General features: G+C 38.9%; 2 annotated features.

The window, feature by feature from the left end:
• Nucleotides 1,816-1,925: an enhancer, noted in NCBI's record as "active region_2012". NCBI's record gives its function as "activates an Ori minimal core promoter by ATAC-STARR-seq in GM12878 lymphoblastoid cells {active_cell/tissue: GM12878}" and the evidence as "EXISTENCE:reporter gene assay evidence [ECO:0000049][PMID:35858748]".
• Nucleotides 14,188-14,793: an enhancer, noted in NCBI's record as "H3K4me1 hESC enhancer chr1:162792375-162792980 (GRCh37/hg19 assembly coordinates)". NCBI's record gives its function as "activates a minimal SCP1, AML or CMV promoter by ChIP-STARR-seq in primed H9 embryonic stem cells {active_cell/tissue: H9 hESC(primed)}" and the evidence as "EXISTENCE:reporter gene assay evidence [ECO:0000049][PMID:30033119]".

Genomic DNA, 24,353 nt, shown 5'->3' with positions numbered 1-24,353 from the left:
ACTATATAGCAGATATTGTGGTAAGCATTTTATAAATATCTATCCAGGCCCCCCTCCTCAAAGAGGGGAATGTGTCTTATCTCAAGGAGTGCTCAGAAAAGCTGAGAAGCTGCATTTCTCTTTTATTTTAGCACCACTCAGTTTCTAGCTGAGAAAATCTATGAGCTAAAACTCAGAGTCTCCAACACATATAATCAATATTAGACAAAAAAACTAACCAGGTAGGAAGTCACAGCCCAGTGGGCCCTTCATTGTAATCACACCATGAGTTTAATTCAAGGAAAAATGCAGGTAATCCTGAAACTCTCTACAAGAGGTATGTGAACTATTTAAATCTATTATTCTACTTCTCTGAAACTGGACAACCACCAATAACATAAACTTTCTAAAGGAATAGTCCTGTTTAGTTCTTTCCCAGGTCCTTTCTCATCAAGAAAGCCAATAGAGCCTTCAGAAAGAAATATTCTATCATTACCCTATTCCCCATTTATAGAAAAGGAGCTCAAACCTCTCATGACAATTGTGGCTTAAGTAAAATCCCAGATGCCCTCAAGAATGGGTAATACACTCCAACCTTGCCTAGCTCCAGCTCAGTGTTTATAGGATAAGCAAGAGTGACCAGATTCCAACAATCTGAACAGAAGCAGAAAGGCAAACTGAAATGACTCCTCCCTACCCTTCAAGCTACAGAGAGATTACACACACATTTACAACTATTCCTTAAAGACTGCAGAACAGCTCTGCTAGATGATTATATAAGATGGAACCAGATGTGAAAGGAACTCAGCATATAAAAATTAAAGCATTGGCCAGGCATGGTGGCTCATGACTGTAATTCAAGCACTTTGGGAGGCCGAGGCGGTAGATTACTTGAGGTCAGGCATTCAGGACCAGCCTGACCAATATGGTGAAAACTTGTCTCTGCTAAAAAAAAATTAAAAAATACAAAATACAAAATTAGCCAGGCATGGTGGCACACACCTGTAATCCCAGCTACTTGGGAGGCTGAGACAGGAGAATCACTTGAACCCAGGAGGCGGAGGTTGCAGTGAGCCGAGATTGCACCCCTGCACTCTAGCCTGGGCAACAAGAGTAAAACTCCATCTCAAAAAAAAAAAAAAAAAATTAAAGCATTAAATAAGAAAGTGTTAAGGTGACAGTAACTGGAAGTGGGAAAGTTACTGCAGCACATACCTTGAAGGAACATGCTTAGGAAAGTACCAGGAGGGTGAAACAGACTAAAGAAAACACATGGAAGCCAAAAGACTGGTCCAGGACTTGACATTACTAGTACAAATTATTCAAAGCTTCTAACATGCAAACATACAGAAAGGGTAAAGTTTGGGCAGCACATAGCACTACAAGTATTGGCCTTCACTGGGTCCCTTGCAGCCAGACTCTGGAATTACTAACAGCAGTTTCAGTTCAGGTATATGCTGAAGATGATTCTCTAGCTGAAGTAAACCTGTGACAAGGGAGAGACTGTCCCTAAAATCAAGTTTTTATAGGCCTAAAGAAATTTCAGAGCAAGGGGACAATAGCAAAGGCCACAGCCACATCAAGTTCAAAAATGTCTTGAACTTTGTTGGATTGAAGAAATCCAAAGAAAGAGTAAGAGATCAGGACTTGGAGAAGGAGAGGCTACAAGGTGAGTCGTTGGGGCACATCAGCCACAAACGTGTCACTAGACAGTCCAGTGTAGCAGTGAGATTCTGGGGACATAAGACTTAAGAGGGAAAAGAAGTGAAAGGTTTTAAATAGGCATAAAAGGGAAAAGGGGAATTTCAAGCAAAGACATAGTGGCTGGCCACTACATAAACTTTTTAAATTTGCTAGAAGAAATGTCTCATATGCTATTCTCTGACAGAAAATATGCTTAGGTGCATTTTCTTGCAAATATGGCAAAGTGCCTTAGTAAACCTCATGATGGGTGATTTCTTCCATATGTTAAACTCTAGATAGCTGCACAGGAAGCCAAGCATACAAGTGAAACTGAAAAACCACACAATGTTCTCTTTTCTCTTGTTTTTCACACTCTACCACAAAGTCTCTGCTACGGTCTTTGGCAAATAATAGCAATGTGGGTTCTGAAGTTTGCTTAGGATGACTGCTATAGGGGCTCAAGATTTGTTTGTAGTTTCTAGGAGCCTGGGGTGTGAGGCTAGTGCTAGGAAAATCTTATGTGTCCTATTCATACTATAGATTCTTTAAGGAGAGGGTGATGAGAGAATGGGCTTTGATTAATCCGGTCACAGAGTTCTAAGGGAATAATGGCTATTCCAGTAATAGGCAGCTCAGGTTACTCAGGTTACAGATGCTGGAGACAGCCCTATTCACCCTAAACATCTGAGCATGATGGCTATAGTGGACAAAGCAATGAAGAAGGATGATTTGAGGACATAATGAAACATTAACTTACATGGGAGAGGAATTTTCATCTTCAGACATTAATTTTTCCCAGAAAATTTTAAAATGAGGTCATACGCATGGTGTCCAAATTGAGGGATTTTGTACATTGCTGGTGTATGGCAGATGCACTTGATAGCAATAACTCAAGCATACCCTGAGAATACCCTGGGTCTAAGAAGCATATATGTTCAGGGTTCCAAGTTAAAGAATCTGGAAGTACCAACCAAGAGATGTACTCTTTATCTATGAAGAACATCCAATTCCCTGGCCCATCCCTTGGGACACAGCCTATACGGGGGATTGAGGCCCTTTGTTTTGGGCTAAATGCAGGTTACTAGGCGGAGGCTGCTAAGTGGAAATGCTATATAACTGTGTGCTTTTTGTGAACCGTAGCATTTTTCTAGTCCAGCCTGCCACTCCTGGACCTCCCTGTATGTGAGTCCTCAATAAACACTATGTCTCATTCACTGGCTCCAGACCTCTTCTTTGGCCTCCTGGACACAGTGGCCACCACTACTGGAGTCAATAGGGGTCTAGCACAATAACTGGTACTGGGTATTTCTGTTGTCCTTGAAGCTCACTGCTTCATCTCTGGAGAGCTATATCGAACAACAGAGCACACAACTGAGAATTAGAAGAGAGAACTGAGAGCAAAACTGAATTCTGGGTAGAATGTGACCTTAGAGTTAATTTCATTCATGAGCTGTTCTAACCCAATCCAGAACTTTCTGGGAGCAAAGGTTCACCCGGTGAGCCCAGAGAAAACATGAAGGAACAATAGTTGGTATTAGAACATCCGTCCTTAAACTGATCAGGGGGCCTATCAGGTCAAAACCACTTTCATAATTACACTGTACTGCCTTTTTCACTCTTCTGTCTCACATGTATATAGCTGAAGTCTCCACAGGCTCCATAACATGTGGCTCCATGACACTGCTCAGATGCTCCCACACCCCCTGCCACCTCCTGCTTACCCTCTCTATGAAAGTGATTTATCTTATAGGCGAGATTAAGCAAAGGGGATGAGCCTGTGTGGTTCAGCTCTTCCAGAGCTGGCTTGCCCACAAGCAGCTCATGTTCTTCTTCTCTTCCCTGCCTTCTCCATTCAGTGAGGTAGGCTCCACCACCGGTGGGAAGGTAGTCATCATCTAGCCTGTAGCTGAAGAGCAATGTTAATTCATAGGAAACGGACTAAAAAAAATCCAATTTTAACATCAGGTCCAGCTTTGCCAGAAACAAAACAATCTGGTAATCCTTATATGTATGTGTGAATCCAGAAAATCTGAGACAGGTCTGAGTTTATTTATTTAATTTAGAAAGTTTATTTTTGCCAAGGTTGAGGACGTGAGACAGCCTCAGGAAGTCCTGATGACATGCGCCCAATGTGGTCGGGGCACTGCTTGGTTTTATACATTTTAGGAAGACATGAGACATCAATCAATATATGTAAGAAGTACATTGGTTGGGTCTGGAAAGGTGAGACAACTTGAAGCAAAGGCAGGAAGACTCAGAGCAAAGCGGGAGGGAGCTTCCAGGTCACAGGTAGGTTAGAGACAAATGGTTGCATTCTTTGAGTTTTCAGTTAGCCTTTCCAAAGGAGACAATCAGATATGCATCTATCTCAGTGAGCAGAGGGGATAATGCTGAATAGAATGGGAGGCAGGTTTGTCTTATCAGTTTCCACCTTGAGTTTTCCTTAGTGATTTTGGGGTCCCAAGATACTTTCTTTTCACATATGTTACTCAAATAGTGCATACGCTGAAAAGGAAAGTGTTGTAATTAATTTACACCTCAGATCCCAACCTGTGATCTGAGGTGAGTACTGTCCTTCCTGTACCTTAGTTTTCTCCTCTGGAAGATAGAAGATGGAGATATTACAGCTACCTCACAAGCTTATAATACACATAAAGAGCCCAGGACAGTCCCATAGCAGGTAGCCATGGCTTTATTATCATTCGTTAGATAAATCAGATGTCCCAGAGAGTTTCAGAATGCAAGAGAATGGGCTACATATAAGTAGAGTGCCATAAGCACATATTCACTACTCTAAAATGTTCTTTTATACCAACTAGCAACACTTGTGTCCTATCTTATCCTCACAGCAATCCAGCTCAAGTGACTATACTGAACTTTCTGAAATGACGGCAATTCTTTCGTTAGTCAGCCTTATAATCAGGAATTCAACAGTAACAAAGAAGCTCCTGCTCTGCTATTTCCATATCACTGAGACAGGCCTCACTTGCTGGTTGAAGTCTCTGTTCAAAGCCACACTCAGGGCAGTGGTGATCTGGGAGAGCTGCCTGGCTCCTGGCCTTTGCTGTGCTGGATGTTTTCAAGCCTGATAATAACAGTGGGATTTCCAGGCACTGTAGGTTGTATCCAAGATAATCAAGATGACAGAGGAGAGGTTGTAGTTCTTGAAGCTGAGGTCAAGCAACAACAACAAAAAACTGCATCTTAAAATGTGATGTGGGAGTTTGCAGAAATATTTGACGCCTGCATAAATAAATGAGCAAACGCAACCAAGCCCAAAAACACTAGAATAAAGACAACCAAAACAGTTCCTCAGCTATAATAATAAAAATAATCTTCATATGGCATTATAACTTACTGAGGACCTCCTAGGTTCCAGGAACAGTGCTGGATACTTTAAAGGCATTATCTTTGATCCTTAGAAACAAGCTGCCAGGTTGTGTTATCGGCCTCATTCTACATGTAGTAACAACAGCTAACTATTCACCAAACCTATGTTCGTTTCTTCTTGTGTACTCAGCTAGAATCTATTCTCCAATTTCCCTTCCAGTTAGGTATGTCATATAAATTACTTTTGCTGGTAGAATGTGAACTGAAATCCTATGTACGTTTTGAGATCAGGCTCATATAAACCTCCCACATGTAATGTTCTCTCTTCCCTAAATGCTAAATGGATATTGACAGAGTAATCTCAAAATCCATGGATAAAAAGAGGCAGAGCCTCCATCTGTCTGGATCCTTGAGTGACTGTATGAAGCAGAGCAAGGACTCCTACTGTTACAGGAAAGGGGTCCCAATCCAGACCCCAAGAGAGGCTTCTCGGCTCTCTCACAAGAAAGAATTCAGGGCGAGTCCATAGAGGAAAGTGAAAGCAAGTTGATTAGGAAAGTACAGGAATAAAAGAATGGCTACTCCATAGACAGAGCAGCCACAAGGGCTACTGGTTGCGCATTTTTATGGTTATTTCTTGATGATATGTTAAACAAGGGGTGGATTATTCATGCCTCCCCTTTTTATACCATATAGGGTAACTTTCTGTCGTGCCATGGCATTTGTAAACTGTCATGGCACTGGTGGAAGTGTAGCAGTGAGGACCACCAGAGGTCATTCTCATGGCCATTTTGGTTTTGGTGGGTTAGAGCTGGCTTCTTTACTGCATCCTGTTTTAACAGCAAGGACTTTATGACCTGTATCTTTTGCCATCCTCCTATCTCATCCTGTGACTTAGAATGCCTTAACCATCTGGGAATGCAGCCCAGTAGGTCTCAGCCTCATTTTACCCAGTTCCTATTCAAGATGGAGTTGTTCTCATTCACATATCTTTAACACTACCCCTCTAACCACTAAATAGACTTTATGTAAGTAAGAACCAAGTATTGCATTAAATCCATTGAGATTTGGGGGTTATATCAATTCGCTTTACCTTAAATAATACATTGAATATTAGAAACTGGGGAAGAGCCATGTTAGAAAACTGAAGAAGTCTCAGCTTATAAAAACATACACATTAACTTTACAACAAGATTTGTTTCCAAAGTGCTGTAAGATTCCAAATCTCTATTCATACATCCACCTATTCATAAAGAAAATCCACACCATGTAGGAGCAAAAATAAAAACTTGTAGCCCCACTCTGCTTCTGTTTTTATTCCATTCATCCGAATAAGGAAGTTTATATTGTTTAATTAAAAGCATTCTATGAGAAACTTAATATATGCATATGCAATTGTATGTGTGTATATATATATATATTCATTCATTTAATATTCAATACTTCTATGAGGTAATGACTATTAACTCTTATTTTACAAATGAGGAAACTTAAACTTAATCCAGAAAGATCAGTAACTTGTTCAAAGTCCTTCAGCTAATAAGTGATGGAGCTGAAATGTGAAAGCAGACAGTTTGGCTTTGGAACTTGGACATGGAACCTCTATACTGTAGAGGGATGAAAAGAAATAGACTGAGTTAAAGAGCTAAATCATAAAATATTTAGCAATAGAATTATGATTCAAATATTTATCCAGTACAACTGTATTGGTTTTTAAGTTCTGGACTACTTCCACACCAGTGGGTAAATATAATAACAAAGCCTGAGCCTGCTGGTGCCGCTTCCCCCTCCTCTTCCCCTGCCCTGCCCCAAACCTCATTGACTAAAGAGTTGGTTTCCTCTTCCTCTAGGAAGCTCCAAGACTCTGTTCTAGTTCTATGGCTTACATTTCTTCTGACTACTTGACTCCCATATGCCATCTGATTGTTGCCTATCTTGAATATTGCCCCTGGGTATAATGAGACGCAAATTCTGTGACATGCAATTCTAGATGCAAAAGTACTTTATCCAACATCAACAAATTACATCTGACCCCTACCAGAGTCAGGAATTACTTGATTCAGATATTAAAGTAGTACTATGTATGACATATGTGACTCAGGAAAGAGCACAGAAGAAAATTTCACTGAAGCCAGAAAATCTCTACATTTGGAAAGAGATAAAACTAATTTTTTTGAACACTGGTCTAACCTGTGCTTAATGTTCTTCATCAGTACCTGACACTGACATTGGACAAATTTAACTAATCTAAGACAGTTGTTAGTACATGACACATCTAACAAATGGGCATGAAAAAGTGCCTTCCATTTAACTTTCCTGCTGTCCTCTTCTAAATGGAGATATGCTTAGCAGAAAACAACGTTCTTTATGGGACCAGTCTACATGTCTCAGATCATTCTATATGCAAATTCTCTTTGGTTTGCACTTTCTCCCTCAAAATTTACCCTTTAGATTTGAAGTAAAAGAAGAAATAGGGGCCAGGCGCGGTGGCTCACACCTGTAATCCTAGCAGTTTGGGAGGCCGAGGTGGGCAGATCACCTGAGGTCAGGAGTTCGAGACCAGCCTGGCCAATATGGTGAAACCCCATCTCTACTAAAAATATAAAAATTAGACAGGCGTGGTGGCATGCCCCTGTAATCCCAGCTACCCAGGAGGCTGAGGTGGGAGAATCGCTGAAACCCGGGAGGCGGAGGCTGCAGTGAGCCGAGATCATGCCACTGCACTCCAGCCAGCCTCGGTGAGAGAGTGAGACTCTTTCAAAAAAAAAAAAGAAGAAGAAGGAAGGAAGAAGAGAAGGAAGAAGAAGAAAGAAAGAAGGAAGAAAGAGGGAAGAAAGAGGTAAGAAAGAAGGAAGAAGGAAGGAAAGAAGGAAGGAAGAAAGAAGGAAGAAAGAAAGAAGGAAGAAAGAAGGAAGGAAGAAGGAAGAAAGAAAGAAGGAAGGAAGAAGGAAAGGAAGGAAGAAGGAAAGGAAGGAAGGAAGAAGGAAAGGAAGGAAGAAAGAAAGGAAGGAAGGAAAGAAGGAAGGAGGGAAGGAAGGAAGGAAGAAGAAGAAATAGGCCTGTGGATAGAGTATTAGCCAAAAACTATTAGTTTAATAGAACAGCACTGCCATTAGAATTGTAACACTGAGTAGATGAGCCTATAAAGCTCAAAGCCCTTTTACCAGGATAAAGTGGTCAAAGACGTTGGTTTCAAACACCTTCTAGAGCCCATCAGCAGTAATCTTGCCATTCTGGGTCAGCGGTTCTTCAGCTATGGAGAATACATGAATCACCTTTCTGAAACAGACGATTTTTTAAAAGAAGAAAATAAAAGAAAAAGAAATTTTACTCAATGTGCTATTTAGTTAAAAATCAAAAAGTTGTTCCTTTCTGAGAGAATAGCTGTCTTTGTCTGTTTTCTGTTGCTTATAGTAGAATACTTGAATCTGGGTAATTTACAAAGAAATGTATTTCTTACGATTATGGAGGCTGAGAAGTCCAACATCCAAGGGCACATCTGTGAGGGTATTCTTGCAGGTAGAGACTCTCAAGAGTCCCGGGTGGTGCAGGACATCACACAGTGATGGGGCTGAGCATGATAATGTGCTAGCTTAGGTCTCTTTTCTTCTTCTCACAAAGGCACCATTCCTACTTTCATAATAACCCATGAATCCATTAGCCCATTAATCTATTCATCCATGAATGGGTTGGCTATTCATCTATTGATAAATAGATGAATAGCTACTATTAGGTAGCCTCCAATCATTGTACCTGCCTCCTTGTGCACAAGTAGGAAAGTTTCTCTAGGAAGGACACCCAAAAAATCATCAGTGCTTGTTCATAAGTTACACTTAAAGTTTCATTAGACTTTACATTCCAAAGGTGACTATCACAATTTATGTACACTAGCCACACAATTTTATGCTTGTTTATTATTACCAATCTGATGGGTGTGAAATGTCTTGCATTATAATTTTAACTTACATGTGTCTGAGAACTAATGAGGTTGAGCATTTTTCTTCATTGCCATTGAGTCTCCTCTTCTGAGAATTGCCAATTTTTATACTATGCCCATTTGTCTATAGAGTTGTCATTTTCTTAATGGTTTGTAGTATAATTTTATTTTCTAGATTTTAATATTTTATTTATTTTATATGTTGTGAATATTCTTCTTCCAGCTTCACCCTTGTTTTTTAACTTCATTTCTAGTATCTCTTATTAAACAGTAATTTGGTTTTTTATAGTCAATTTCACCCATTTTTTTTTCATGGTTTTTGATTTGGGGGTATTGTTTAAAAATCCTGTTTTAATTCCAAATTCATGATCACATTCTTCTGTTTTCTAATATGTTTATGGATTTTTATTCATTCATTTGTTCATCTATTTATTTGCATTTAGCCTTTAACTGATGTAGCATTTAATTTTGTGACTTTGATGAGGAAGATAACTAACTTTATCTTTCCACATGATATAGTCAATTGTCCCACCCACTACTTGTCCCTAAATTTTAATGACACCCATTTATAGAACTAGTGCTGGATTTTGTTTTCTTCAATTTATTATTTTCTGCATCAGTTCCACACTACTGTAACTGCTATAGCTTTATAATATAGTTTAATATATATATAATATATTCCCTACTTATTTTTCTATTTAAAAATTGTGTGGGGCCAGGTGTGGTGGCTCATACCTGTAATCCTAGCACTTTGGGAGGCTGAAGCAGGCAGATCACTTGAGGCCAGGAGTTTGAGACCAGCCTGGTCAACATAGTGAAACCCCATTTATTTTCTTTTTTCTTTTTTGAGATGGAGTCTTGCTCTGTCACCCAGGCTGGGGTGCAGTGGCGTGATCTCAGCTCACTGCTACCTCTGCATCCCTTTCATTAGACCTTACCTTCTAAAGGTGACTATCCCGAGTAGCTGGGGTTACAAACATGTGCCACTATGCCCGGCTAATTTTTGTATTTTTAGTAGAGATGGGGTTTCACCATGTTGCCGAGGCTGGTCTTGAACTCCTGACTTCAAGTGATCCACCCACCTCTGCCTCCCAAAATGTTGGGATTACAGGTGTGAACCACCACACCTGGCTGGCAAAACCCCATCTCCATTAAAAAATACATAAATTACCCAGGTGTGGTGGCATGCGCCTGTGATCCCAGCTACTAGGGGGGCTAAGGCATGAGAATCGATCATTTGAACCCGGCAGAAGATAGTGCCACTGCACTCCAGCCTGGGCGACAGAGTGAGACTGTCTAAAAAAAAAAATTGTTTAGCTAGTCTCACATCTTTATACATCCATATTACTCTTATAAACTGTTTGTCAAGTTTCTAAATACTCCCATTGGTAATAGCCAAAGAAACCTTGAAAAAGAACAAAGTTGGAGATCTCATTTCACATTCCCTGATTTCAAAATTTACTAGAAAGCTATTGTAATTAAAACAGTGTGGTGTGCTACATAAAGACAGATAGACCAAAAGAATAGAATATAGACAGCACAGAAGTAAATCCTTGCACATTTGGTCAAACGATTTGACAAAGGTGCCAAGACCATTCAGTGGGAAGAAAGGACAGTCTTTTCAACAAATGGTGTTGAGAAAACTGGATATCCACAAGCTAAAGAAAGAAGTTGACCTTTATCTTATCCCATATGCAAAAAAGTAACTGAAATTGGTCAAAAACCTAAACATAAATGCTGGATTTGGCAATGATTTCTTGGATATGACACCAAAAGCACAGGCAGCAAAAGAAAAAATAGTTAAGTTGGACTCTATCAAAATTAAAAACTTTTGTGCATCAAAGGACACTATTAATACAGTGAAAAGGCAACCCACCAACTGGTAAAAATTTTTGCAAATCACTTACCAGATAAGGGGTTAATATCCAGAATACATAAAGAACTACTACATCTCTACAACAAAGAAACAAGCAACCCATTCCAAAAATGGGCAAAAGACTTGAATAGACATTTCTCCAGAGAAGGTATACAAATGACCAATCAGTACAGGAAAGGATGCTCAATGTCACTAGTCATTAGAGAAATATAAATTAAAACCACAATGAGATACCACTTCATACCCACTAGATGGTATTATCAAAAAACAAACAAACAAAAAATAAAAAGTATTGATGAGGATGTGGAGAAATGGGAACACTTTTACATTGCTGATGTGAATGTAAAATGGTGCAGCCACTATGGAAAACTGTATGGCAACTCTTCAATATATTAAACAGAATTACTATAAGATCCAGCAACTCCACTTCGGGATACATATCCAAAAGAAGCAAAAGCAAGGATTCAAAGAGATATTTGTATACTCGGTCTCATAGCTGCATTATTCACAATAGCCAACAGGTAGAAGCAACTCAAGTGTCTATAGAGAGATGACTGGATAAACAAAATATGCTATATACATATAATAGAATATTATTCAGCCCTTAAGAAGAAATATTTTTAACTGTGGCAAAATACATCTAACATAAAACATATCATCCAGCCTGACCAACATGGAGAAACCCTGTCTCTACTAAAAATACAAAAATTAGCCAGGCAAGGTGGCGGGCACCTATAATCCCTGCTACTTAGGCGACTGAGGCAGGAGAATTGCTTGAACCCGGGAGACGGAGGTTGCAGTGAGCCAAGATCACACCATTGCACTCCAGCCTGGGCGGCAAGAGTGAGACTCCATCTCAAAAAAAAAAAAAATTTTAAGGGTATAGTCTGTGATATTAAGTACATTTGCACTGTTGTGCAACCATCACCACCATCCATCCACAGAACATATTTATTTCATCATGAAAAACTGAAACTCTGCACCCATTAAACAATCATCTCCCCATTCCTCTCTCCCTCCACCCTCTGGCAACGACCTTTCTACTTTCTGTGTCTATGAATTGGACTATCTTAGGTACCTCACATAAGAAGAATCATACAGTATTTGTCCTTTTGTGGCTGGTCTATTTCACTCAACGTAACATCCTCAAGGTTCAGTTGTATGTCAGAAAGGAGCAGTAAATATGAGAGTTTGGATTGGAGAGAGAGAAAAGTATCTCTGAATCACAGGAAAAATAAGGAGCATATACAGCCAGAAGATTAAAGGATCAAGAACTTGAAATCTGCTCTAAGAAAGGACAAGGGGATGTTTACAGGGGCCTACATACCTGCCTGCTATTTCCATTGTATCCCAACCAATCACCATTTTTTATTTCCTTTGTTCTCTTCTAGTTCCTAGAATCTTCTACCTCCACAGCGGATCCCCTGATGCCACTCCAAACTTCTGTAATTGCACTCACATATGTGTATTCCAGATTCGATGTGGAAGGAAAAGGCAGTTACCGAGTGCTCAGTCTGCCATCTTGAAATAGAAATCAGAGATACCATTTCATGAGGACTGTCCAGGCATACTTTTGCTTGAGTTCCTTAGAGGCCTGGAGCACTGACTGCAGGTTGCCATCCACCTGCATCGTGGTGACCTTGACCGTATGGTGAGAGGCCAGCAGAGTTGCATGGACAGCTTCTGTATTGCTCATGTTCCTGCATGGCAAACACAGGTGAAGCTCATCATCTTCCACCAGCAGCTGCTGCAGAAGGATAGGTCAATGCCACCGGGAGGGCAGTTCAGACACAGAATGTGCATTATCTGGATGGCATCAGGTAGAGGCATTTCTCTCTGGTTCAGAAAACTGATTTTGACTGCTTTGGTTCCAAGCAGGAGCCCAAGGAAAGATTTTTTAAAGCCTTAAAAATCTTTTTTTTTTTTAAAAAAAAGGTAAAGGAAAGAGGGAACTCACACTCTAATAGCCGCTTACTTAGTGTACTGTCAACAATGAGAGCTGTACTTTTCCATTGCTCATTGCTCTATTGAGATTATTCTGAGGCACGTTATCATCCTGAATTTACTATGCAACTGATATCTAAGGGTGATTACAAACCATCCATAGCAAGTGTTAAAGACAGCATCTTTATCAACCATTTTAATACAATTTTTATTTTCTCAAGCAGTTTGCAAGTTCCTCATGGGCATATACAATGCCATGAGTAAGTTTAATCATCACAGCTAGGGGCAAACAGCAAACGTTTTCTGCATGAATAAATGAATGAATTCATTGTTCATTAGCCAGTCAGTCTGAGAACATAACTAATGTAAAAAGGAGCATTCAGTGTAATTAAGTGTTTATTTGGCTTTGCGATTTTTTTTTCCTTGAACAAATTAGGACTTTAGAAAGAAGAATGGAGGACATACAAATAGAGGCCAGGAAGGAGAAAGTAGGAAAAGTAGGATACCTGAGGATACAGGAGGTCAAAGGAAGACAGGTCTTCAGAAGAAAGCCTTCAAAGGAAGCAAACAGGACTGTGTATTAAAAAGATGATAACCATGACCTGCCACTGAATATATCCTCTCTGTCTCCCTGTAATTGTCACAAGGTGACAAATGGCTCAAGAATGCTCTAAAGCTCACTCTGAAACATGTCCTTAAGCAGCTGTGCCTGTAAGCACAGAGCCAAACACCTTCACTGTGTATCTTCCTTCACTGAGAAAAAATAAGCCTTACCTTATTTTTATGTACATTCAGAGAGAGAGAGAGAGAGAGAGAGAATGCCCATGTTGTGAACTGTACAATTTGGTAGTTATGAGTACAGAAGCTAGAGCTAGACTGGGTACATTTGAATCCTGACTCTATCGCTCACTAGCTCTGTACCTTGGGCAAGATAACTAATCCCTTTATCTTATCTGTAAAATGAGGATAATAATGGTGCCTAGCCTACAGCATGAAAATTACATGAAAAAAATATATAATGCACTTAGAACGGTGCCTGGAAATTGGTTAGTACTATTTAGTTGTTTAATATAATTTTATAACAAGAATCTATCTTGATCGTGTGCACTGTTTCGGCACTGGTGGGTGGAAGACAGTCTGGGGGTTGTTTAGGAGCATGAGAAGGGAAGTGGTGATTCACTGGATGTGGCAGAGGTGTCCTCAAGCACCTAAACATCAATTTTGATTAACAGGAAATGTAAGTAAATATGCTAAACACTGAGTCATTTTAATTGAAACTTTTAATCTAGTACTAGCATCTACCATAAATTCAGATTTCAAAAGCAGCAAAATGGATTGGTTAATGTCTATAGCCACTTTTTTTTTATGCCCTGCACTGGCAATGCAAATAAGTAAAACAGCCAGAAGCAGAAAGGGCCTACAAGATGAGCCACTGAAGGGTCTGTATGTTCTTTCCATATTCAACAGGTAAATGATTCTTCCCTCCAATGCTTAGTCATTGGAGGGAAGCTGTAAGGGGTGCAACATCCAATGAAGCTCTGCCAGTCCTTGTTCTACTTGTTAATTAAACCTAATTGAGAGAAGCTCTACATCATGAAACAACTGGAAACCGATACATGACCACGTGAGTTAGGACCCCAGGCTCTGAGCCGAGTTGGGGATGGTCGGCTGCTCTCTCCCGCCGCACCTGGAGGATTACTAGGATCCATCTGAAGGCAGAGCTCAGGTCCCTGGAGCCACGCCTGATTCAACTGCAAATTCCCTGAGCTCCCCGAGCTGGGCGCTGTTGGGAGGTGGCTGGTGGCGAGCCAAATGCGTCTCTGCCCAGCTAGGGGATGCAGTCACGGGGCGTCAGAGTTGTGAGTTCCCCACCCAGTCCGGTGGGGTCCACGGGGAGGCGTTCACCTGCTCACTCCGTAACCAAAACCACCTTCCTCATCATCAGCGTGATAAGCACGAAAACCGAGCACGCAAGCAACAGAGACCACAGCAGTTTCCCAGTTTATTTCTATCCGAGACTGACCCAGCGGCTCCACCCACGGCTCAGCCGTCGCCCCCTAGTACCGCACCGGAGCACCCAGGGATGCCAGCCTCCCGGGCCCAGCCCAGCGCCGCCCGCGCCAGTCCCGCCCGGCGGCCGCAGTGAGGGGGCCTCTGCTGGCCGCGAGGCGCGTGGGGACAGAGCCCACCACCTGTCGTCCTAGACTCCACACCGGTCCACAGCGTTCCCCCATCCCTTTCGCACATCTTCCACCACAGGCTGGAGCTGCTTCACAGTGTTTTGCTAGAGGCTAAAATTTTCTATAATTATTCCATTTGTTCTTTCGCCTCATTTTAAATGCAAAAATCGAGGCACTGGCGACAAGAGCAAGGCTCCGTCTCAAAAAAAAAAAAAAAAAAAAAGAATCGAGGCACTGTGTCATTTTTTATGTTCACATTCCAGTCATTCATCTCCTTTTCTTTCCCTCCTTTGCCATTACATTCCTAATTGCAGTCACCTATTAAAAGCAAAACAAAAAACTCTTCATGTCTTAGTTTCTTTGTTTACAGGCTGAAGCAGAAAATAACCTGGATTTTGATAAGGAATTGTATGTACTATCACAATATGTATTTTTATGGTGTAGAAAAGGTCATCCACTTCAACTGCCTCTACTTAAAACCGAACCCTCTATAAAAGATTTCAGTCGATTTCTCTCTCCCTTTTTTTCTACTTCTCAGAACCATCTTTCCAAACACCCACCATGGAGGAGGTGGCAACTTCCAAGGAGGAGGCCTGGAGACAGAACTAAATCTAAACCAACCACTTACTACCTAGAGACTTTTTTTTCTTTCTGAATAATAATTGAAAATAAAATATGTAAACTAAAAATTCAGTACAAGAAAAATGCAGTGAAAAGCCCATGTAGTATTCCTCTTGGCTACTTTGCCTTTACAGTGCAACTGTCACTGTCACAAAGCCCAAGTCTCTGATAGGGTCTTTCAGAGATTCTGTGTGTATGTATGTATATGTGTTGTGTGTATGTGTGTATAATACAAATGAAAACAAAAATCTATAAAGTTTACAGCATCTTGTTTTTATGCACTTAATCCACAATCCATATATATCACTTCATTTTTAAAACTTCACTCTTTTTAGTAATTGTATTTATTTTAATATTTTTTATTACATTTTATGAATATGACATAATTATCCAGTACCCCAGAGGCTAGAGGAATATGTTTCAGTTCTTTCTACTCTTTTGCTGTTACAGGAAAAAAAAAATGCTGCAATGAATTGTTCTTGTGCAGATCTAAAATCCTTTACCCACAATTCTAAAGTCCAAACAGCTAAGAAAATTTAGTCTTTTCAAATTTTTGGCACACTCGTTTGGCAGCTGAACTATAGCTGTACTGATGTGAGGCTATTTATCATCTTTACTTCTACTACTTAATGTGAATTCATGTATCTTTTTTGCTAACATATAGCTAGGTTTGATTGCAGGTTGTTATCCCAGGTCCCAGTAGAATTATTGCAAAACATACTGTATTGTATGCACCAACTTACCTTTCTAAACTCCAAGCAATTTTAAATTCTAAAGCACGGTTAGTACACATTTTGCATAAGTGATGGCAGTCCTGTATAAATATCTTTAGGTATATTAATGAGTTGTATCTTTAGGATAAATTTCAAAATGTAGAATTATTAAAGGTATATGCATTTAAAATTTTGGTATTGTCAAATTGCTTTTCAAAGGAATTAACAATTTACATCACAAACAATATGAAATGAAAGTGCCTGTTCTTTCACACCCTGAACAAAACTTTTTGGTGTTTGATAATATGATAAGCAAAAAGGTGATAACTCATGTGCTTTTAATTTGATTTCATTTTACTATGGGTGAGATTAAAATTTACTATTGATTTGTGCACATTATTTAAATAGTGGGTTAATTATCCAATTGGCTTCTATGTTACAAATATTTTCCCAGCTTATTTGAATTTTGATTTTTATTTGTGATAATTTATTGTACAGGAAATTTTAATTATTTTGTAATCATATTTATTCATCATTGATACATATGGAATTTATTTGGGTGTAAGGAATTGTATTAGTCTTCTATTGCTGCTGTAACAAATTGTCACAAATTTAGCAGCTTAAAACAATACACATTTTATTATCTGAGATCTGTGGGTCAGAAGCCTGGCATAGCCTGACTGATTTCTGTGCTCAGGGTCCCACTAGGCTAAATAAAAGCCAGGCAGGCTCTGGGTCAAATCAGCTTCCAAGTTCACTTAGGCCCTTTGTAGAAACCAGTTCCTTGCTTGGTAGGTCCACAGTCCCACTTTCTTGCAGTTTATAAACTTTGCAGGGATGGAAGACAGAGGGAGGGATCCTCAGCTTTTAGAGGTCACCCACTATCCCGTCAGGTAGCCCTTTCTGCAGAAGGTAGTTTGCTCTTTCAGGGTCCACAGGAGAGCACTACTATAGCTGCAGATCTGACTTAACTTCTGCTCCTTCTCTACAGCTTTTAAGGGCTCATGTGGCCCACCTGAATAATCCAGGATAATCTCCCTATTTTAATAACAACTGTGCCACATAACAATGCAATCATGAGAGTAACTGGGCAAAGGTCATGGGGGACATTTTAAATTCTGCCTACTACAGCAGTGATAGAAGGCTCCAACTTTTTTTTTCCCGGTTACTAGCCACTTGTCCCAAAATTATTTGGAATAAATCACTGATACTACCAATTTGTTTGGTTGTCTGACATTTAGATTTCTGGATAATTCAGAAGTGTTCATGATTTGAGAGGAACTCAGCCCCTACCCTTCTCCCACTCCAACTCCTTCCAAGACAAGAGATCAGTATTTGACAACTCTAACTCTGAAAATAAGAATAGTCTTATTCCAGGGCCAGACCCAAAGGCTCAATGTGAAAGTTCCTGGACTCAGAGGTGTCACGTAAGGAAAGAAAGTGAGTGGAAACTTGGGAGTGTGGCTGTCCCATGAAGAGCTCACCCTCTGGAAAACAGAAAAGGGTCCTAATCTTGGAGGTTTGACACTCATCATAATGTGGGAATGACAGCTAGAAAAAAACTGTGAACTCCAGGAAGGCTTGAAGGCATTGGAGCAAGGCCAGCAGCCTCTCCCTCCCACCATCACTTCCATCAGAACCACGTAAGAAAGACCTAGTTTCTTGTTATCTCTAGAGACCTGGCACCTTTCACTAAAGAATTTGCTTTCAAGCTGCTGCAAACTTTGAACAATTGTCTGACCTACTAAAAGTAACAGAGAAAGACAGAACTCTAGATGACTGAAGAAATCATGTATTTAAGTTATTAAAATGTATTATGTATAGGACAGTTATCATGATACTATCATTTTGTTGATGTCTCTTTGTGTACTTTTGATACCAGCCAGGTTCACTCTACCTGCACAGTAAATAAATTACTGGGACAATGGGTTTTTGCAAAAGAAAAGATTAATTAGGCATCCCAGCAAGGAGGTGGACAACAGCTCTCAAATCTGCCTCCCCAAAGATAGGAAATATTTATGGATTAGAGAAGCAGATGGTCTAAGGCATAGGGAAAGGTGATTGGCAGTGGGTTAAAATGAGGTAATCAGTGATCTATGCCAGCATTATCAGGGTTCATGGCATTTCACAGGATATATGTCTCAGATCAGCATTAGCATGATCTGAGAATGGAGTTTTTGCCTCTGCCATCAAAAGTTTCCCTCTCATGTATCTGCACATGCCTAGTTGAAGGGTACGTGGTCTCAACTGGTTTGAACTGGACAGAAGCTGCCCTAAGTTCCTAAAACACAACTGAAGTGACCACTACCATGTGACTTATGTTATCTGTAAAGTAGCCAGTGAAGGTTAAGTTACAGCATTCAGTGGTGCAGACTTCAGCTACCATGCCTTCAGCTTCAGGGAAAAACAAAAACAAAAGCAACAAGCAAACAACCCAAAGCAAGCAGGGCAGGATAAGTTTGGTGGATCTAATCAAATTAAGCCCTTGGTTTTACTTCCTACAACTCCTACATTTTCTTCTTGATTTTTGTTGTGTTGATGTAGATATTTTAGTTTCTGGACATGGAGAAGCATCGCCTGGTCATGGTAACCCTATTCCTGGACAACCATTCATCCATTCTCTCAATAAGAATCTGGCAGCTCTATCTGTGGCTGATTATTTGCTATTTTTTTCATCCACTTCTACCCTGAACTTTAAAATCTAGCTCTAATTCCTATCATGTGCCGGAACTAAGTCCTTGATGGCCAAGAATAAAATGATTTATTTTTAGCCCCTTATAACAGAGAACTTGTACTTCTCTGTGGATCTCTCTGGAATGAAGTTGCCTCCAGTTTCAAGCAGGGGGAAAGTACTGCCTTAACTCAAACACTCTCCCTTCATTTCCTTTCCCTCCTATCATCCATATCTCTTCTTTCCAAATCCCCATACCTCCGGCCTGGCTCATAACTAATGTGTGGGATAGGATTTTTTACATTGTTATAAATGATAAGTAATTAATTCTTACTCATATGGCATATATAATAAATCATTTTTTCCTGGGTGCTTGTGAATATATTTCTTTCAAATGTAGAATATGAATGATAGTTATAAATAGAGATCACTTTGCAATCAAAGATATAGAGAATATAGAATCATTTTGACTGTTAAATACAGCAGGATGGGATAGTTACTTCCTAGCCTAAGAGAGAAAATAAATCCATGCATAGCCTATATCTAAAGCATCATCTATGTCATCTACCCACATTTAAACCTATTTATGAGTCACTAACAAAAAATGTGTTTCTTGAACATCCAGAGTCTCTGAATTTTCTCTTTTCCACAATAAACTGCTATAAAACCTCCCATAATTCCCTTCTTTGAAACAGGAGTCAAATGAGACAGTGAGGAATAACCTCCAGCAATGGTGAGATGAGCTCTCTTTAACCCAGTGGATTACTATCCATTTTCAACAGTCCTTTATGTATATTGTCACAGTTATTAAAAATAATAAGTAAATGAGACTTGTTGGATAATGAAATTTGTTCACATTTTCAGGTGGCAGACAAGAAACATGGATTATTGCGTGGAGTTCCATTAGTAGGAATAAGACTCATTCTACATTCTTGTTGTTCTTAGTGTTTTTTGTTTTTCATGAGAAGGAATTGTATCAGCAAAAGGCAAAATTCTAACATGACAATGACAGCAGACAGAACCTCAATAAACTCTGACTTGGTACTGCAAACACCATTTCATGATACCTTAATTCGAATAAACCTTTGTTTAATCAATTGTTCATATATTTATTTATACAACAAGCAGTAATCGAGTGCCTACTATGTGCCTTGCATTAATAGTGGCGAAACAATTTTTTTAAAAGTCCCAATCATCTTGGAGCTTATACTTCGGTAGGTTGAAAGGCAATAGACAAGATACGTAAAATACATATGTTAGATAGTAATAAGCAACAAAAAGGAAAAAAAAAAAAGGTAGATAAGAAAGATTAGAAGATATGAGGAGCATGATGAAATTTTAGACTGGGTGACCAGAAGACTTTGCTGAGAAGTGAAGCAAACAAAATGAGGGAAAAAAAAATGTTTGAGCTGACAACCACAATAACCACCATCTCCCATGCCCAAGAAAACAACTACAAGGGAGAAGAAAATACTAACCCAATGAAACAGAATTAAATATCCTTAAACAAGCATTTGGAGATATTAAAAAATACTATGGATCAAAAATTTTAAAAACAGAAATGGACAAAGAACAGGAAGAAATAAAACAAAAACTGATTATACTCAGGAAAGAAACAGAAGAAAGTAAAATCATACAGAAATAAAGATGGAACTAAAAAGTGCGGAGAAGTCTTGCTTTTAATTATAGCAATGTACCCCACGTACAGACCATCCTTCCTGAAGAACAACTATTAACTGTGGAAAAAAGGCAAAAAAAAAAAACAATTACCTTAGAATTCCGAAGAAGAAACAACAGCAGGCACAGTGTGGAGGACAGCCCATGAGACATTCACCAAAGCAGGCCTTATCCTAGGCCATATAACAAACCTCAACAAATTTAACGGTATAGAAATCAGACAGCATGTGTTCTCTGACTGTAATAGAATAAAACTGGAAATCAATAACAAAAAAAGTCAGAAATCAATAACAAGTTTTTTAAAATCTCTAAAAATATGTACATTAAACAATATTTCTAAATAATTCATGAGTAAAGAGAAAATATCAAAGGAAGTTAATAAAAATATATACAACTTAATAAAAAAGAATGTGTCAAAAAACCTGGCATGCAGCTAGAATAGTGCTAAGAAGAAAATTTATAGTACTAAATGCTTATGATAAAAAAGAGGAAAAATTTCAAGTTAATAATTAAGTTTTTACAGCAAGAAAGTAGAGAAAGAAGAGCAAAATAAATCCAAAGCAAGCAGAAGGAAGGAAATAGAAAAGATCTGAGCCGAAATCAGTGAAATTGGTAATAGGAAAACAATTGGGAAAATTTACCAAACAAAAAGTTGATTCTTAGGAAAATACCATTAAAATTGAGAAACTCCTAGCAAGACTGACAAAAACTAAAAAAGAGAAGACATTAACATCAAGAACGAAATACAGAACATAATTACAGATCTCGTAGCCATTAAAAAGAAAATACTACTACAAGCAACTTTTATGCTAATAAATTTGAAAACTTAGAAATAATTGACCAATTCCTTAAAAAGTACAAATGACAAAAACACAAGATAAAACAGAAAATCTGAATAGTTTTATCATCATTAACAATTACATGCATAATTTTAAAGATTCATAAAATAAATCTCCAGGCCCAGATGGTTTCACTGGTGAATTCTACCAAATATTTAAAGAAGAATTAACACCAATGTTATATAATATCTTCCAGAATATAGAAGGTGAGAGAACACTTCAACTCATTTTATGAGGTTGCTATTGCCAAATAACCAAACCAGTCAAAACCAAAAAAAAGTACAGGCCAATATCTTTCATGAACCTAGACACATAAATTCTCCATAAAATATTAGCAAAGCAAATCCAACAATGTTAAAAAGAAATGATTTATTTTTGGTAAAGACAGCATCTCGTTATGTTGCCCAGGCTGGTCTCTAACTCCTGGCCTTAAGCGATCCTTCCACTTTGGCCTCCCAAAGTGCTGGGATTACAGGCATTAGCTAATCCACCCAGTGATTTTTGTCAATAATCTATTGTCTTCAATTGTTTTTGCAAGTTAGTTTCTTTGGTTCTCTGCAGTTTCACTATGTCTAGGTTTTTCTTTATCTGTGTCTATCTTGTGTGGAACTTGCCATTTTTCCTGAATCTGATGATCATGGCTTCCATCAATTCTAAAAAAAAAAAAAAAACTCAGCCTTCATCTCCTCAAAGTTGCCTCTTTCCCATGTTCTCAATTCTTTCTAGAATGCCTAGAAGCATTTGAGATGTCTCACTCTATCATTCATATGTTAACTTCTATATCCTCAAAACCCAACAGTGCCTGGCATGTGGTTGGTGCTCATCTGTGGAACGAATGAATTATACTGAACCCATTGGAAATCAAAATAAATGTACCAGATCAAGGCAGAAAGCAGGCATCTGCTGAAATCCAACTTCCTAGCAGTTGAATCTTTAACTTACTACTCCAGTCAGATACAAAAACAGTGAAACCTAGGATTGTTTAATGAAAGGAACCAATTGTACAGGTACATCATTTGGGAGTGTGGGAAGGGAGTGTTCCCTATTTTGAGGAAATTGGATAAAATGGCTCAGAAAATACGTACAGCACCAACCTAGTGACACGTCATCAATGACGTGAAATCAAGATTGGTTCATGTTTAAAGCTTCCTTTTGGGTACTTAACGTAGAACAGAATTCAGTACCAATTTGCATTGACTGTGCACCTACTAGGATATTATCACAATTCTGCAAGGTAGGCACTGGCATCAATACTTTATGTAATTAAACTGAGGTACAAATTGAAGTAACTTGCCCAAAGTTATACGACTGGTCTCGAACTCCATACAGATAGTTAACTGGCTAAATCCAAATCTGATGCAAGGTCTGCCCAGCCCTAAAGCCCATACTCCTCCCACCATGCCCTCCCACTTGATCAGATGCTGCCTTCCGGGTCAAACTTGGAAAATTAACCAACTCTACCAGATAGGAAGTGATCACTCAGTGCCTTACACCATAGCATTTGAACCATGATATTCTGGCATATTCAATCTCCAGTAAAAATTATTACAATGTGCCAAAAAAAGCTCTTTATTCATTCACATATATTATTGCATTAAATCTTCACTCCATACCCATGAGTAGAAGCAGCAAAAAGATAACCACTCCACTTTACATATGAGGAACCTGAGATTCACAACAGATAATGTGCTTCTTCCAAATTTACAATGTGAGTGAATGGAAGAGTGAAAAACAGCTCTGATTTCAGGTCAACTTCACCCTTCTCTCCCAAAGACGGTGGACACAGTGGTGTGCAGCTCTCATTTTCACTTATAGAATGTTTATAGAAAACCTTTAACAACAAAATTAGAGAAACTAGAACCAACAGCTTCATACTTTAAAATGTGAGGAAATTATATATCATTTTTTACTTTTGTCAAGTCATTCAAAATTTTACTGACTTTAGATTTCAGGCATTACATTGGTTATATTTAAAGTAAAAATATACGGCATTTTATCATTTTTCTTCATATCAAATGAGGCCTGGGGTGTGGTTCTTTGAAAATTTATAAAGTTTGCATAATTATCTGATACATGTAAACTAAATCCTCACTATAGTGTACCTTACACCAGCAGTTACCCAGTTAGAAAATTTTATTGAAACTTAATGTGAGTGAATAATTTCTTGCTGCAAGTTTACAACTATTAAGATATGATCATGAAAATGGGCTGGTCACTAATAAATTTGCAAATAGTGTTAAGGGTCGGGCCCAATATTAGCATCAACTCCCTCAGAATCAATAAAAGATATTTTTTAAACAAGAAATAATTCAAGTGACCCAAACATCTATCTATTTGGTTTTTGTTATTAACCACATGGGCACCCACATGAGGATTGTTAGGATTCTAACAATCTTAAGATTGTCAGAAGCAACATATGGAGGAAGAAATAAGGCAAAAGAGCTAAAAAAAATTGCTCATAAAGCAACAAAGTTCCGACTGCCACTCAGATAGTGGGCAGTACTTCCTTTTGCTGGGGTCAGGCCAAAGAAAGGAGCAGTGCGTGCCTGTGTCACAATTATTCAAGTCCACCTCTTGTCCCATGGAGCACAGCTTAGGCCCCAGTTGGCAGAATAATATAAACAGATACTCTGTTGGGTGACTCAAATAATTTTTATTTTTACATAAAATCTTTCCGAAAAGAACTCTAATAATTTTGATGTGATACCACTCTAGAGAATAACTAATTAATATTTTTACTTAATCAATTTTTTATTTTTGAGATGGAGTCTTGCTCTGTCACCCAGGCTGCAGTGCAGTGCCACGATCTCGGCCCACTGCAACCTCTGCTTCCTGAGTTCAAGTGATTCTCCTGTCTCAGCCTCCCAAGTAGCTGAGATTACAGGTGCACGCCACCACACCTG

Source organism: Homo sapiens, chromosome 1 (assembly GCF_000001405.40).
Source record: "Homo sapiens chromosome 1, GRCh38.p14 Primary Assembly".
Lineage (NCBI taxonomy): Eukaryota > Metazoa > Chordata > Mammalia > Primates > Hominidae > Homo > Homo sapiens.
The sequence above is the reverse complement of the archived record's forward strand: the minus strand, read 5'-3'. Positions and strand labels throughout refer to the sequence as shown.